Source organism: Homo sapiens, chromosome 6, assembly GCF_000001405.40.
Source record: "Homo sapiens chromosome 6, GRCh38.p14 Primary Assembly".
Taxonomy (NCBI): Eukaryota; Metazoa; Chordata; class Mammalia; order Primates; family Hominidae; genus Homo; species Homo sapiens.
Window position 1 is genome coordinate 65,315,520 of NC_000006.12, and position 18,351 is coordinate 65,333,870.

General features: G+C 34.6%; 1 protein-coding gene across 3 annotated transcripts in view; it reads right to left on the reverse strand.

The window, feature by feature from the left end:
• EYS (eyes shut homolog) overlaps window positions 1-18,351 on the reverse strand; it is a 1,987,247-nt gene that overhangs the window by 1,595,540 nt on the left and 373,356 nt on the right. Inside the window, exon 12 of one of the 3 annotated variants that reach the window (NM_001142801.2) lies at window positions 13,753-16,898. The exons of the other annotated variants lie outside the window; for them this stretch is intronic. Within the exon in view, the coding sequence (NP_001136273.1) occupies window positions 16,805-16,898 (94 nt within the window). The 3' untranslated portion in view covers window positions 13,753-16,804. Of the gene's footprint in view, window positions 1-13,752; window positions 16,899-18,351 lie in introns of those variants that run through there. 3 annotated transcript variants of the gene reach the window in all.

An 18,351-nucleotide genomic window follows, 5' to 3' on the forward strand; every position in this document is an offset into this window, starting at 1 on the left:
ACTTTCTATAAATGAAATCATCTGTATAAATCTTGCATCTGGCTTCTTTTGCTCCATATTATGTTTGTGAAATTCATCTATATTATTGAATATAATAACTGTGGTTCATTCAGTATTACTGCTTCATAGTATTCCACTTTATGAATTTATCACAATATATTGTTTCTAGTTTTTCATTTTTATAAATCATGTTGCTCTGGGCATTCTTGGAAATATTTTTGGTTACCATGATCCCCTTTCTGTTGAATATACACTTTGGAGTGCAATATCTGTGTCATAGGTATGTACATGTTCAACTTTAGTAGATAATGTAAGCAGTTTTCCTAAATCATTGTCCCAATTTAACTCCCACCAGCAATATAAGAGACATCCTATTGCTACATATCCATGTCAGCAGTTAGGATTATCTCTCTTCTTTATTTTAGTTATTCTCCTTGGTAAATAGTAGTAGTATCTCATTGAGGTTTTAATTTGCATTTCTCTGACTACAAATAAGATTGAAAATATGCAGATATCCTTTTCCTGAAGTGTCCACTCAAGTATTTCCTTCTTTTTTCTATTGCATTATTTATCTAGTTATAGTTAATTTGTAAAAGTTTAAAAATTATTTATCTGGATGCAAGTCTTTTGTTAGTTATGTGTGTTGCAAATATCTTTTCTCACTCTGTGGCTTGTTTTTATAGTCTCTAAATGGTGTTTCTGTTGAAAAGAAGTTTTTAATTTTAAAACATCCAATGTATCCATCTTTTCTTATGAACAGTCATTTTTGGTCCCAATTTATCAAATCCTTACCTATCCTAAAGTCTTGAAGGTATTATCTGAGTTATAGTCTTAGATTATCTTCTAATTGATTTATTATTTTCTCTTTCACACTTTTCACAGTTAAATCTACAATCACCCAGAATGGATTTTCATGTGTGGTGGGTGGTAAGGGTCATTTCTTTTTTAATCGTCAACTTTTTAAAAAAATTATTTTTATACTTTAAGTTCTGGGATATATGTGTAGAACATACAGGTTTGTTACATAGGTATACAAGTGCCACGGTGGTTTGCTGCACCCATCAACCCATCATCTACATTAGGTATTTCTCCTAATGCTATCCCTCCCCTAGCCCCTCTCCCCCTGGCAGGCCCCAGTGTGTGATGTTCCCCTCCTTGTGTCATGTGTTCTCATTGTTCAACTCCCACTTATGAGTGAGAACGTGCAGTGTTTGGCTTTCTGTTCCTGTATTAGTTTGCTAAGAATGATGGTTTCCAGCTTCATCCACGTCCCTGCAAAGGACACGAACTCATCCTTTGTTGTGGCTGCATAGTATTCCATGTTGTATATGTGCCACATTTTCTTTATCCAGTCTATCACTGATGGGCACTTGGGTTGGTTCCAAGTCTTTGCTATTGTGAACAGTGCTGCAATAAACATACATGTGCATGTGTCTTGAATTGAACCAGCATCATTTGTTGAAAAGACTATATTCTGTGTGGATTTCAATTTGAAAATTTTATATAATAAATATTGTATCTATATTTATAACTATGATTTCTCTTTATGTTTGTAAGGCTTAGCAATTAGGATATGCTATCAATTTATCATTTTAAGGCTGATTTTGTCTTTTTTTAAATGTCAAAGTATTTATTTTACCTCAATTGTTGGAAGAACTCATTGGTTGGAGCAGCTAAACCTAGATCTTTGTGGAGAGATAATGGAAAAAATCTGTAATAGGTGTTTGATTTTCTACTTAAATCTATTCACTGATTACTAATTTGCTCAGTTTATTTTCTGGAGTCAATTTTTAGTCATTTATATTTCTCCAGAAAATTATACATTTAAAGGCATGTTTTATTTTTACTACTATAAAGCTACATTCAATATTCTGTTAAATGTGTAAACAATTCTTGTAAATACTGTTTTTCATTTGTAGTTTTGGTATGATTTTTGTTTTCCTATTGTTACGGTCTGTATATTTTATAAAATGAATGTCTTTGATTCTGTTATCTATTGCTGTGAAACAAATTACTCCAACACTTAGTGGCTTAAAAGAACAAACATTTAGTATCTCATGCAATTTCTGAGGCAAGGAAATCTAGGGGCAGCTTGGCTGGTTCAACATCTCTCACAAAGTCACAGTCAAGCTTTTCTTCCTGGGCTGCCATTGTCTCAAGGCTTGGCTGGGGCTGGAGAATCCACTGTTAAGCTCACTCACTTGGATACCGACAGAGCTCAATTCCTTGCTAGCTCTTGGCTGGAGGCTACATTTTCTCTTCCTTCCTTCCTTCCTTCCTTCCTTCCTTCCTTCCTTCCTTCCTTCCTTTCTTTCTTTCTTTCTTTCTTTCTTTCTTTCTTTCTTTCTTTCTTTCTTTCTTTCTTTCAGACAGAGTCTCCCTCTGTTGCCCAGGCTGGAGGGCAGTGGTGCGATCTCGGCTCACCGCAACCTCCTCCTCCGGGGTTCAAGCAATTCTCCTGCCTCAGCCTCCAGAGTAGCTGGGATGACAGGCGCCCGCCACCACGCCCAGCTAATTTTTTGTATTTTCAGTAGAGACGGGATTTCACCATGTTAGCCAGGATGGTCTTGATTTCCTGACCTCATGATCCGCCCACCTCGGCCTCCCAAAGTGCTGGGATTACATGCGTGAGCCACCGCGCCCGGCTGGAGGCTCCATTTTTTTTTTTACCGTGCAGTCCTCTCCATAGAACTGTTCACAATATAGCAACTTGTTTTTCACTCCTTTCCCCTTCTCACTCCTCTTTTCCAGCAATAGATCAGAGAGAGAGAGAGCGACAAAGACACAAAGAGACAGAGAGAACAAGAGAGCTCAACGTGGAAATTATACTCTTTCAAAGTCTAATCTTAGAAATGACTTACCATCACTTCCACATCTGCTATTGTTCAAACAGACTAACCCTGGTATAGTGCGTGTGGGAGGAGACTTCACAAGAGTGTGGGTACTCGGAGGCAGGCAGGGTCATTGAGGGTCATCTTGGAGGCTGGTCACCACTGATCCTGGTTATATACATATTTTATATATATATTATATATATTTTATATATTATATGTATTACATATATTTTGTATATATAATTTATATGTAATATAATATATATAAAATATATATAATTTATATATATAATATATGTATTTTTTAAGACAGAGTCTCATTCCATCACCCAGGCTGGAGTGCAGGGGCACGATCTCCACTCATTGCAGCCTCCGCCTCCTGGGTTCAAGCGATTCTCCTTCCTTAACCACTGAAGTAGCTGGGACAACAGGCATGTGCCACCATGCCTGGCTATTTTTTGAATCTTTAGTAGAGACGGGGTTTCACCATGTTGGCCAGGCTGGTCTCAAACTCCTGAGCTCAAGGGATCCACCCGCCTTGGCCTGCGAAAGTGCTGGGATTACCGTCGTGAGCCACTGCGCCCAGGCTGGTCATAGTTTTGTTGTGAATTCTATTTTTTTCTGATATTAATATTATTTTCTACTTTTGATTTGTGTATTTACATATATATGTTTACATGATTTTTATCTTTATATTTTTAAACTTTTAAAATGTCACTATTTGGCTGGGTGTGGTGTCTCAGGCCTGTAATCCCAGCACTTTGAGAGGCCAAGGCAGGTGGATCACTTGAGGTCAGGAGTTCGAGACCAAACTGGCCAACATGGCAAAACCCCGTCTCTACTAAAAATGCAAAAAAAAAAAAAAAAAAAAAAACAATTAGCCGGGCATCGTGGCACATGCCTGTAATCCCAGCTACTTGGGAGGCGGAGGCAGGAGAATCTCTTTAACCCAGGAAGCGGAGGTTGTGGTGAGCCAAGATCACATCACCACACTCCAGCCTGGGCAACAGAGTGAGTCTCCATCTCAAAAAAAATAATATATATATATATTTTTAATTAAAACGCCACTCTATTTTAGCAAAACATGGGTTTTGTTCATTGAATCTGAAAGTCTTCAGTTTTCCATAGAAGAACCGAAAACATTTAAATGTACTGTCCTGATACTTGGCCTTACTTCTTATTCCTCTTATTTTCAAAAACATTGTTGAATTATATTTGTGTCTTTATTAAGATGATGTCCAAACAGGAGTTTAAAATTTCTTCTGTATAATCATGGAACATTCTCTGAACTAGCACATTGTAGACACTCAATAAGTATTTGTTGAATCAGTGATACAGATAGATGGATGGTTGGTTGAAAGAGGAATGACGCCGCTTTGCTAGGGGAGGTGAGTGTAGGACTCCCTCCCTCAAAGTAGTCTGTTAAACAGGGAAGTGGCTGCTTGGTTATCTGAACAAGTATTCACTCCACATTTTGAGCTAGACATAATCATTGAAAGAGAGCTAGAATGCCTTCCTATTGACTTCCTGGCCTGCTGGGAATTTTTGCTTCCTTCTCCCCCAGCCATCCAATTTTTCAAGAAAAATTTTCTGTTTGCCAGCTTATTTCCCCAACTCCCCTACTCTTTTGTCTTTCCTACCCTCTAAAGAGAGTCTAGGTCTCACAGGTGATCTTTTGTAGCTCTGTGATGCCTAATAATAGAACAGAAAAGGAGATGGGGAAGAACTGACAGAAAGACTAAAGAAAGGAATTAACTAGCGAGTTTAAGTGGAGCTGCCTAAGGATGCAATGCAGGAAAAAAAAAACACACACACACACAAAATGGATGGGGACTACATGCTGAAGGGACTGAAGTCAAGAGGGAGAATTTGGGCTGCGAGTCAGCCAATGAGAGATTCCAAAAGGAATAGAAAGTGCTGAGAAGACAAAAGCACATGTAGCCTGATAAGGGCATGGTGACCAGGAGCTCAGGTCCCTCAGAAATGAGTGTCTAGTTCATGCCATCAGGTAAGCTACTAAGACTAGCAGAGCTGCAGCCTGATATAGGAGGAATCCAGACGGATAATGGAGGAAGGAGATGATGAGTATCAGTTGCAGCCCTGGGACTGGTGCAGAAGCAGGGGTGGAGTTCCTCCTATTAACTTCCCCTATTGTAGATTTCACTGGGAAGAGATGCCTCTTGGTACAGTGGAGGAACTGCTCCTTGAACGTATTCAAGTGGCACATTTGGCTCCTTGAAGTGGATCCAAGTGGCACATGGGATAGATGGTGGTAGAAACAGAGAAGTGCATCTCAGAAGGACATGTTGTCCTTCTGCCAGTTATAGTTCTGCCAGTAGATAGCCTCTAGGGCTCAGCCCCTTCAGGGATTCTTTTAGCTGCAGAGGTGCAGGTTAAACAGGTTGCCTTAAGGTGGCCCTTAACAAGTGGCCTTAAACAGGTGGCCTGAAAAAGGTGGCCTTAGCTAAGGCCACCACCCCCATCCCCTCAAAGGTTGGCATGCAGTGACTGATGGAGGGCCATGTTCACCCTAAGTGAGGCAACTCCAGCAGGCACCTACAGCTTCCTGTGGAGTTGGCTAAGGCAATCAGGTCTGCATCACAACCTGACTTCTCCCTCTGCTCAATTGTTTTCCCCTTCTTTTCACAGCTGTTGGTCCCAAGGGATACCCTAGAAATATACTAAACGCTAAACATTGTCTCAGGTCTGCTGTTGGATAACTCAACCCATGGCAGTGCTCTGTAAGACTACGGAGATTTTGTGGGATTAAAACTAGTAGAGAGTATGAAAGCCTTTTTTTTTTTTTTTTTGGCAGATGCAGTATTCTGAGAAATGGATTAACATGATTTAAAATGGTGGCCAAGAAATATGATTCTTCTTGTTTCATTGGAAGGCCTGGAAGTGTAAGAGGCTAAAATATAAAACAGACTGGGAATTTGTTTCAGGAGTCTAAGAATAAAATCCACAGGCTAAAAGAGGGTTGCAGTTGGAGGGAAAAAATGTACTTGCTATTTTTCAAAAAAGAGTTGGAAAGATTTGGTGTCAACCTGGATGTGAGGATGAAGACAAGCCAGCTAGAATAAATATTGATTCCAAGATTGAGGGCAGAGGTTTCTGGGAGTGTCACTGATGGGAACAGACAAAATGGAAAAAGACTTAATGAAGAAGATAATATCCTCAAGTTTTGACATCTCTAATTTAAAATGTCAACAAGCTATTTAAGAGGAAGTTTCTTTGTGTTGGGAGCCACCTTAGTTGTCCAGCCATATTAAGGGGCTGCAATACAGTCATGAAGGCTATAACCAGCACTATGGTATCATGCCCAGTCTAAAATGAGGCTGAGCTCTGACCAATGTGGGGGCTGCATGTGCCAGGAAGAAGGGGTGCCTTTTCTGACTGGCACAAAGATGTTGTGTGAGCTGGTAGGGGGCCTGGCCATTGCCTCAAAATCAGTGAGAGAGACAATGTGATGTCTGGTGAAATGCACAAATTTGGTTTAGATTAGAGATGGAAAGTTAGTGAAGGAGAAAAGGCTTTAGTAAGTTAGATTTCTTTAGGGTGGGAGAATAGGCAAGTCACTTAAACCTTCTGAATCTCCTTTTCCTTATTTGTGTGGCAGGATGCTTTTCTTTTCTCCACTCCCTCACAGCTTCCTCGTACCAAGATATGATAGCTGAATGAGATATTTGGCAAGGCAGAGAAAAGAGATGGAGACGCTTAGCCTAATTAATGTGCTACACTTATGCCAAGAAGGGATTCTATGCTTACCTAGCAGATAATTTACCCTGAAACTGGACTAGGCAGGTCACCTTTTTCTTCATTTTATTCTTGCATATGCAAGATCTAATTATCCAGACGTATCCACAGAGAGAGGAACCAGATGAAATGAGGAAAGCACGGTTCACCTTCAAGAGAAAGAAGTAGGACTCTGGGGTTTTAAGCCGAGGCATGAAATGTACCGATTAATAGCGTCATTTTGGAAACACAGGTCTCAGGAGTTTTGGGAAGGTTAGTATGAGCTTGTCAGCATTGCTTATGAATAACAGTGAGATTGCTGCTTTGCACCTGATCTCAGTCAGACCTCAGAGGCTCAGCCACTGGGGCTGGTTATGCAGCAGGAATATATCCATGCGACCAGCAGGGTGTAAGAAGTCCAGGCCAGGACGGGCGCAGTGGCTCATGCCTGTAATCCCAGCACTTTGGGAGACCAAGGTGGGTGGATCACAAAGTCAAGAGATCGAGACCATCCTGGCCAACATGGTGAAATCCCGTCTCTACTAAAAATACAAAACTTAGCTGGGCCTGGGGGCGCGCGCCTGTAGTCCCAGCTACTCAGGAGGCTGAGGCAGGAGAATCACTTGAATCCAGGAGGCAGAGGTTGCAAGTGAGCCAAGATTGTGCCACTGCACTCCAGCCCAGGTGAGAGAGCAAGAATCCGTCTCAAAAAAAAAAAAAAAAAAGAAAAAAGAAAAAAGTCCAGGCCAGACTCCATCTCAGGCTCACTGGTTCCAATGTGTTCCATCCATACCTCAGTGGCTCTTGATTTAGGGAAAAAAGCACATCCTGCTATTTAATTTGCAAAAATTAAATAACTACTTGATGTGTCTTTTGTGCAGATAATACCCACAAAATATTAGTTTTTGCCCTTTTTCCCTTATAATTTTAACATACTTATTTTCTTTACTTGTCTCATGTTTTCTTTCAGAGATTCTAACTCTCTTTGCTAAATGGATATAGGAATAAATACTCTTAAAATACATTTTTTATTGTATTGATGTGGAAAATGTAGAAAAGCACAAAGGGATTTTTTTAAAACTCTGCAATATCATCCACCAGTCATAATCATTATTAAGATGTTTTCACAGATATTCCCAGCTTTTATTCTATAAATAAGACTCTCATGATTCACTTATCCCTCACTTGTCTAACTATTTTATACTTTTTGACGCACTAAGATTCTAAAATGAACCATAAAAGCTGGCACATATTTATAGTAATCAGTTTTCTTATTTAAGAGGATGAGATAGATGAGTGTAAATAATCTTGCTATACACAAAATTGTTTCTGCTACTCTGAAGACAAGGTGTTCTTACATCTCGGTCTTTGAGCATATATGTAATAAAGTTTTGTGTAAGGTTGCAGACTTTGTCTTTAATACAAAGGAAAACAACAGGTATAGCCTTCATATAAATTATCTCATTTAATCCATACCGTGATTTTATGAGATTGGTACTGTTACCTTCATGTTACTGATGAGGGACCTGAGCCAGGAGAGGCAAAATATCTCAGTCAAAGTAGCCCAGCTGCTAAAAGATTCTGCCTTTGAAAAATCGCCTGCCATTGACACCTTTGTCACCGTCACCTCCATCTCTGTCTGAGCCACCATGATCTTTTTTGACCTATTGCAAAATCTATTTAACGGCTACCTCTACCTTGGCCCCTGTATAGTGACCAAAGTGAGCCTTTCAAAAACATAAAGCAGATCATGTCATTCCTCTGCTTAAACCTTTCACTGGCATATCCCTCAGGGTAAAATCCAGAGCATTAGTAGGGCTTCTAAGGTTCTATTTAATCTATTCCCCACTCCCTCACTTTCCCAGTCACTCTGGTCTCACCTCTCCCTCTTGCTTCCTGAACTCAGTGCTGCCATTCTCCACACAGCTTGACATGTTCCTACCTCAGGGCCTTTACACCTGCTCTGTCTCCTTTGCCAGAAATCTATCACTTTATTCCCATCTCTGATTAAATGTCACTGCTCCTTCAAACCCTTGCCTGGCTACGCTATATAAAATAGCCCCTTTCCCAGCTTTCTTTATCAATTACCCCGATTCATTGTTTTTCCCGTGGTATTTGTTACCACCTGGCTTTTATTTGTTTATTTCTTCATTTGTTTATTTTCTGTCTTCTCCTGCAAGAATGTTACTGTATGAGAGTGGGGACTTTGTTTTATTTGTTGTATTTCCAGGCCCAAAACAGATCCTGGGCCCACTAAGGAAAATTTGTTAATGAATGACGGAAAGGAAGGAGCCAGATTTCCAGTTCACATCTTCACCCTAAGTCCAGGCTATTTCCTCTATGCATTCTGAATACCAGAGCCACTTGAAGGAAGGAACATACAGTGAAACACCGGTGATATTGTAAACCTTCCTTGCAACCCTCTTCGCTTGCCTTGCTGAGATTAGGAAGATTGGAATGAGTCAAAGCCAGAGTCCTTCCTCGGAAGATCACTCTAGCATTTGCTCTTCTCCACTGTCAGGAAAGAAGAGAAAGCATAGAGAAAATGGTACCTATAACAGTGAATTCACAAGAAAGAGGACATGAGACCATTTGATTGTACATAAGTAACCTGGACTTTGGATCAGAGGACCCTGGCTCTGCTGTGTGACTTGGAAAAACTTTTTAAAAACCTTTCTGAGGTTGTTTTTATCATTTTTAAAATGAAATTAATGATCCTTCCTTTGGTCATGAGAGTCAGGTTCTCCAAAAAGCCAAAGGAACTGTTTCCTCACGAAGTGTCAGAGAGATTTTTGAAAGAGCTAGATACTGTATCTCTGGGATTAAAGTGACAAAGCATGGCCTTTAAGAGATCAGAAGTAAAAGATATTTTAGCACAGTGGATTGTCAGTCTGCATTAGCAGGTGGTGGAAGAGCTTTCGGCAGACATGCCCCTATAACTTCAGTTAGTGGCAGCACCATTGGCACAGGTACACCCCCAGGCAGCTGGCCCTGGTAACAAGGTGGCAGCAAGGGGAATTCACATTTAGAGGCAATGAAGGCAGCTGTCGCCACCATCATAAACTTCTCCTCCTCCTCCTTACTCTTCCTCATAATTCTCCTTTCTCCCTCTTCTCCCCTCCTCCTCTCCCTTCTTCATCCTCCTCATCCTTCTTCATCTAGCTGTGATATTTTTTGTCCTGGATTTAGGTTGTACTGGTGAGGATAGAGACAGCAAATCAATAATAATATTTTAAATAAATTTTTAAGCACATATACAACAAACGCTGCATTTGATACCTACACTGTCTCATTTCATCATTATTTAATCTCCCTTAAGGTAGGTATAGTAACTCTGCAATGGAGTTGAGAGAAATGAGGCATAGGAGGGAGAATGACTTGCTTAAGGTCTCACAATTCATAAGTGATGGCAGGAGGATTTGAACTTCTTGGAGGTTCAGATTTGAACCTGGAGTCTCTTTGACTCCAGGACACTTGTTCTAAAGTCACTCAGATTCAAAAGGTAGAATCAGATGGCTTAGTGATTGGATGTGTCAGGGACAGGGGACTGTGAGGAGGAGAAGGGGTCTAAAATACTTCCTAGTTTTCTGATTTGGGTGGCCTGTTGAAATGTTAATGGTGCTTTACCCAGGGTAGGGACACTCTGACTCCTAGAAATAGTTCCAGCCTCTAATTAGTGTCGAGATCATTTTTTAGGTTAAAAATGAGCTTTGGGCTAGAGTTACAGGAATTCTTATTTCAATCTTTCACTTGGTTTTGCCTGTAATAGACTGGCTAAACTGTAAGAGGCCTCCTATTAATTTTAAACTGTCTTGAACTCAAAATAGTCAAAGTATTAAGCTAATGAAAGAGCAGTGTTCTTGTTGTTGAGTAATCCACTTATTTATTCTATAGCTTCCTCTCCCATGCTCTTTGTTCCCTTTGATCATAATTTTAATGGGTTTTGGAAAAAATAGAAACCCATGCACTACATTGGCTATATTTAACAGGAGTACCTATAAAATATCATTTTGTCTAATGTACTGTAAATAATTTTTTCCAGATGCTTGAATGTTTTTGGAGTGTATACCTTTATAAATTATACATTTTTATATAACACCTGTATCTGTTTTTCCTTTAATTGCTTCTCAATCTTGTGTCACGTTTAGAAAAGCCTCCTCATTTTAAGATATACAAATATTCACTCTCATTGTCTTTTAGAAAGCGATAGATTTATTTCATAAATGAATTATCTGATAAATTTTTAAATGGTGTAATTTTTTTCTACCATTGATTAGAAATGCTATGTATATTAAAATAAATTCATATAGATAAGTACATATATTTATATATAAGATATACATATGCATATGACTCATATATATGAGTCAGTGTCTCCCTCAGTAGAATGTTTGATTTAACACCCCAGAACATATTTTAATACCTTGTTTTAATATCTTTTCTCATACTCCTATAGTTTTTCTTTCTTTCAACTTTTATCCTTTTTATATACACAGTAAAACAAAAAATTTATTTTTGTTTTATATGAGACCATATAGAATTTATATATGAATTTAGAATTACCATATCTAAAACATTGAGCCTTTCTACCCAAGAACATGCTATGCAATTGAAAGCATTTAATAATCTTTCATAAATCATTCATTATAATTTTAAGATTTTCTTTTGTTATGCATTTATAACAGTTTATTCCTTGGTGTTTTATCTTTTGGGTTACTATTGTAAATAAAATATTAGTCTTCATTTTATTTTCTAAACGACATTTATTTCTTATTGGAAATCTATACATTTCTTACAAAGATTTGTCAGTAGACCACAAAATAAAATTATTTTATTTCTAATAAGTTTTTTAAATCAATTCTTTTATTTTACTATATTCATAATCATATCTATAAACCACAATAATTGTGTTTCTTCCTATCCAATTTATACTTCCTCATTTTTTGACTTGTTTATATACTTAAATACTTTCAGGAGCCTAAATTAATAGCAGGCATTATTGATTGTAATGCAAAATGCTTTATTACGTCAACATAAAGCTAAATAAAAACTACTTTTTATCTGGTTTAACACTTTCTATCCTAAATTCCACCTTGATATATCAAGTCTGTAGTTCCAGCCTTGTTCTCAATTAAGATCTCTCCAGTAAGTTTTTCGGTTGTGTGTTTTTGATCCTTCTAAGTCAAAGTGTTATAATGAACCTCTTAACCTAGAATTGCTCTTACTTTGATTTTTGAGGTAATTTAATAGATGTTAATAACCAATATGTCTTTTATGTGTTTATAATATTTTTGTTTTCTATTTTGAAATGTGAATTGTGTTTTATTTATTTATTTTGTGGTTTGTGATGTTATTTATTTCTTATAATTTTGAAATATTTGTCTGCTTTTGATCCTCTATTATACTTTTAAAGGTGTATAATCTACTTAGCTTTGTACTTCCTGAAATGGATACACTAAAATCAATGAGACCAATATTTTCTATTAATAGTGCATTTTTGGTTTTTGTAGCACACACTTTACTTCATACAATGGAATTCATAATGTATCCTACCTACACACCTAATATTAAAAATTAACCAAGATAATTCCCTAACTCTAATATAAAAAGTATAAGAGACCACTAATTTACAAGACCACTATTTCTATACAAAAAATACTAAGGAATGACTGAACTAGAAGATACATTGAAGTGGTTAGCTCTTTGCACTCATACACAGAATTACCATGGGTTTGGTAGCCATAAATAAAGACTGATAATAGTCATTTCCTATTAGACACTCAAGTAGGATGATGTATTTTTTTCAATATAGTTAAAAAATTCTAAGAAATTTCTGAATGAAAAATATTTATTGACTTAACATAAAAAATTTATTCCTGATATAGTCAATGATTATTAAAATTGTGTAAAAATATTTCATGCCAATATGTGACATGAAATTCAGATCTAGGCTTAGATATTCATATATAGGTTTTATACACACATTAACATATGCTGTGACTTTTAGAAATTGTGCAATCTGTGAAAAACGTTTGCTTTGCCTGAACTGTTCTGTGCATTGAAAGATTTATAACATTCATCATTCACTACCCATATCCTAAAATTAAACTGTTCCAGTCAATTATTCTGAATATTGACAATGACTCTAGAAGTTCCCAAGATGCCTCTAGAAGACAAAATACTCTCCCTGAAAATTACTGAGCTGAAATAAATTTCTCCAATTTACAAAAGCACTCATCACTTTTCACCCAACCATGTACTAGTACGTCTAGCATTTTGTCATAATAATTAATAAATTCAAATAAATTGTAATATATATGTGTACATTGATATTGAGTACTAAGAGAAATGGCTATCAGATTGAAAGCTTTTCAGTGAGTACATCAATTTTGCTAAAATATCAATTTTGATGAAAATTATAGTAACCTATAAATGTTACTGATATCTTGAAAATATGTAAATCTAAAGAAATTTTCTTTGAGAAATCAAATTGGACTAAAATAATTTATGAATGTATTGCTAACTGTATTAAATATATAAATTTTAAAATATAAATGGGAAACAAGTGAATAATATGATAGAAAGTAAAAAGCAGAAGCCTACTAGGTAAAATTCTATAAGTTAAAAATATGATCTGATGTGAAAATATTATAATTATTAGTTTTTTATCATTTATGTTTTTAATGAAAAAAATTCTAGGAATAGAAAAACTAAAATTATTCCTTTACACATTATCCTGAATCCTAAAGTTATGACCCAAATACCATATAAACTGTGGATGCTCAATTACTGTTGCATTAATATGGTCAACAAATGCATTTTAAACTTGAGCAAGCTATGCTTAAGACAAAGGTCACCTTTTAAAGATTCTGCATAAAAGGCTGCATGAAACTCCAAGTCTTAGAAAATAATTTGAAAAGCAATGCTAAAAGGTTATACCTATAAAAACGATTTAAATATAAATTTAAATAAAAATCTGGCTTAGGTAGTATAAAACTATATAACATGCACAAGTCATTTTATTGTTTGAGATATGAAATTGAAGTATGAAAAGTCATAAAACCTGAAGCTATAATACGGTCAAACTTTAATTTTAAATATATAACGTATGTATTTGGGAAAAATATATGAGAGATAATTGTGTATAGATGAGTTAAATTTCAACCCATATGAAACTTGAAACTTTATTATTCAAAAATGCTTCATTTAATGAAGTTTGTTATAATAATTTTGGTATGTGTATGGGTAATACAATGATATGTACTCTAGAATTGCTTAAATGAATGATTTCTATATCATTTTACTATAAGGATTTAAGAACCAAGATTATTTGGTTTTCTAGAGCATAATAAAGAGAGAAAATATATCAGTGTATGTAAGTGCCTTAGACAAAAAGATTTAGACACTTGATCTAGTGGTTTCAAGACTGGCCCCAACCCAAAAATACATTCAATATGACACTTTCATATGCAGTTCGATATCTTTTTTGCTTTAAAGGTAAAAATATACCCACATAAAACTTTTACTTGAAGGCAGAAAAGTTTGCATAGTATAGCCAAAATAAATAAATAAACCTAAAACCAACTATTCAACTTGTTAATAAAATCACGGACATCACGGCAGAAATTACAATAGTCTTAGAATAAATAATTATTAGACTTTTGGGATCAGAAATAATTTAAGAAAATCCTGGTCAAATTATACTATACTTTTGTGCCATATTCACATAAAGCTCTATTTTTACAAGCCTCCTGACTCTACAGAAATAGTTTTTGAAACTTCACCTGATTTTCTTATGGACTTTTAGATTCTACACTTTGAAACAGAACTCTTACTTATAACTGAAAATTATGTTTTGGATATATTTAACATTACACAGAAAATGTGAATCTCCTAAAATAGCCTGTAAAGGAAACAGGTTAAATTTAAAACTTCCAGAAAGAAAGCCAGAAGACACACTGCTATAATCAAGCAACTTGTATGTTCAGAAAGTGAAAAAAATAATTACTTTAGTACTTTAAAAATGTGTTCACTTTCTAAATGAAACAGAAGAACCATGAGATGTGTTCTGAAGAGTGTATAATCTTACCTATGTATAGTACATTACCTGGGGACAGGTATCATGTCTCATTGTCATAACATTTTGAAAAATATCTTCCAGTTAGAGGAGATTCAATAAATAATAAATGTATGAATGAATATATTTCATTCTGTTATGATATTTCTGGTAGCAAGTAGGGATTGGTGACTTAGACATAAATTTGAGGCTTCAAAAACAGGTGGGAGTCATGAACACTTCACAGTCTGGGCATGGTATTAAGAAATTAACATCCCAGACTTAGCAAATCTTTCCTGGTCTTAAGTAACAATATGGCTGGTATGATTTAGTCTTTGGCTCATTAAACATTTTATAAACCCCCAGAAAAATTTTTTGAAGATTTCAGGGCAAAAAAATGTGGTAATATGCAGACCTGTTTGCAATACATCATTTATATAATGAATTTTAATCTGCACCCATTTAAAATACACTTTAAAAGAAAATGTTTATACGCTATTCATTAACTTTGTGTCCGTTAACATCATCAACATTATTAGTGTCTATCATTATAATACTATCATTATTTTGCCTTATAAATTGAGTTTAATTGAAAAATTTCTCCATCCCGAAATCACAAAGATATTTTTCTACATTTCTTTCATTTATATCGTCATTTTACCTTAAACTTTTAGATCCCTATACACATTTAGAGTCTACTTCTATATAAGGTATAAGGTTGTAATCCAGTTTCATTTAAGGTCTTATTATGAGCCATTTCCTCAATACCATTTACTAAAGAACCCTGTATGTTCAAATGAGATTATAGCCAAATTTCTCATATATTGAGTTCCCGTATATACTCGGGTTGTTGTCAGAGCTCTCTGTTGACCCATTATTATTTTTTTTCCTTTAAAGGCACCCATATGTGTTATGTAGTCTGTCATGTCATATGGTTCATCAGATCCCACCCCATTAGTCTTCCTTTTCAAAGATGACTTCATAATTTAGAAAATATTATTCATAAATATATATAACATGATAATTAGTTTCTAAAATAACTTGCAATATTTTTACTATTGCATTAAATGTGTGAATTAATTTGGGAAGAATTAATATTTTAGCTAATTTAAGGCCTAATATTTAACTCCATGCATTATATTTCCATTTATTCAGTGTATATATAATTTTCTCTTTTTCATTGAGCTTAGTGGTATATAGAGGGTCTTTTTAATGGAGAATTAGAGCATCTTTTTTTTAATTCTAAACATTTTGCATATCTTTTGACATTATAACAGGTGGTATCACACATATAATTTCTAGATATTGCAACTGATATAGAGAAACTTAATTTTATATAAAATACTTGTATCTGCAACATTTGTTGGGCTCCATTGTTAGTATTAATTATGAGACAATATCAAGAACTCATTAAAGTGTTGATAAATTACAAAAATTTTGTAATTTATCCAAGATTCTCTGGATATCAAAAAATAATGGCAAACAAAAGAGAATCACAAAATCAGAAAAAAGGAAATAACATCACAAAACGAAGGATAATTTTCTTAGTAAATAAAAAAGCTTCTGAAAATCATTGTTTCATTAAACAAGTATTTGTTGAGCACTATTCTATGTGTCTTTTGTGGCTTACTACTTTTCCTTATCAAAATGTTTTCAATGTTTATTCGTATTGAAGCACATATCAGTAATTCATCTTTGTCTATTGCTGAATAACATTTCATTGTATGGATATAACAAATTTTATATATCCATTCATCAGTTGATGGTCATTTGGGTTGTTTCAACTTTTTGACTCTTTCGAACAAAACTGTAAACATTCACATATAAATTTTTGTAAAGAACATATATTTTCAATTTTTTGAGTATATACTAGAAGTAGAATTGCTGGGTGTAAAGTGTTATCTCATTGTTTTGATTTAAAATTCCAGTCTTTCAGCCTTTCACCGTAAAGTATAATGTTAGTTATGTTTCTTCATTCTTCTTATTTTTTTTTAACTTCTCTTATCAGATTGTGGAAGTTCCCTTTTATTCTTTATTTGTTGAGTGTTTGTTTCATAAAGTGTTGTGAGATTCTGTAATACAATTTTTTTCTCCATCTACATTATCATGCATTTTCTTCTTTATTTATTCTATTGATACATTAAATTACATTAATTGATTTTAAGCCACTAAATCAAACTTATATTCTTACGATAAATCCCACCTGGTCATGCTGTATAAACCTTTCTATATGTTGCTGAATTTGGTGTGGTATCACCGTGTTGAGGATTCTTCTGTGAATTAATTTGGGAAGAATTAATATTTTAGCTAACTTAAGGCCTAATATTTAAGTCTATGCATTATATTTCCATTTATTCAGAGTATATACAATTTTCTCATTTTCATTGATCTTAGTGGTATACAGAGGGTTTATAGTGCTATATAGAGGGATTGAAAACATAGATTTGCCTATAGTTTTCTTGTGATTTGTCTGGTTGTGCTATTGTTGTAATATTGGCCTCATAAAATGAGTTGGGAAATGTTCTCTTCTCTTCTATTTTTGGAGGAGGTGGTGAATAACTACTCTTAATTTTGCTTTAAATATCTGTTACAATGTCTCAGTGAAGTCATCTAGCCATGAACATTTCATAGTGTTAATTTTTGTTAGTTTGTTTAATTACTGATTCAATCTTTTTACTTGTTATAGGTTAGATTTCCTACTTCTTCTTGAATCAATTTCAGTAGTTGGTATTTTTCTATTTTATCGAAGTTAACTAATTTTTTTAATTTACAGTTGTTCATAGCATTTCTTTATAATTATTTTTCTTTCTGTAATTTCAGTAATATTTTATATCTTATTCCTGATTTTAGTATATTTGTTAATGTTTAAAACAAATGAAATTTTGTTTTTTGATATTCTTTATTGTTTATCTATATTTTATTTTATTAATTTTACTCTACATTTTATGATTTCCTTCTTTCTACTTATTTTATTTAGGTTTAGTTTCCTCTCTTATCCATTGTGTTGTGGAAGTTTAGGCTATTGAGGTATTTACAGCTATAAATTTTATTCGCAGCACTGCATCACCCACATCCCATGAGTTTTGGTATCCATTTTCAATAATCTCAAAGTCTTTTCTAATTTCTCTTGCAATTTCACTTTGATTCATTGTTTAATAAAGATTGTATTATTTAACTTCCATGTAATTGTAAATTTATCAAGTTACTTATTGATTTTGATGTTTAATCTCATTCAATTTTGGTCAGATAATGTCCTTTTTATTATTTCAATTTTTTGAAATATATTACAGCTTGCTTTATAGCATAGCGTAGGATATGATCTATCTTGGAGAGTGTGCCATGTACATTTAAGAAGGTTATTCTGCTGTTGTTGGGTAATGTGTTTTATAGCTATCTACTATTTCTAGATGATTTATAGTGTTGTTTGAATCTCCTATATCTTAGTTGATTTATAGCCAAGTGTTATATCTGCTATTGAAAGTAGAATATTAGAGCCTCTAATTGTTATTGTTGAATTGGCTATTTCTCCCTTAAATTATTTTTTAGCTTCATTATTTTGAGGCTCTGTTGTTAGTTGTGTATATACATATATATATACACACACATATATGTTTGTAATCACTACCTTTTCTGATAGTTTGATTCTTTTATAATTATAAAATATCTTTCTTTTTCTCTACTAACTGTTTCATTTTTTCTCTTAAAATCTATTTTTTCCCTGATGTT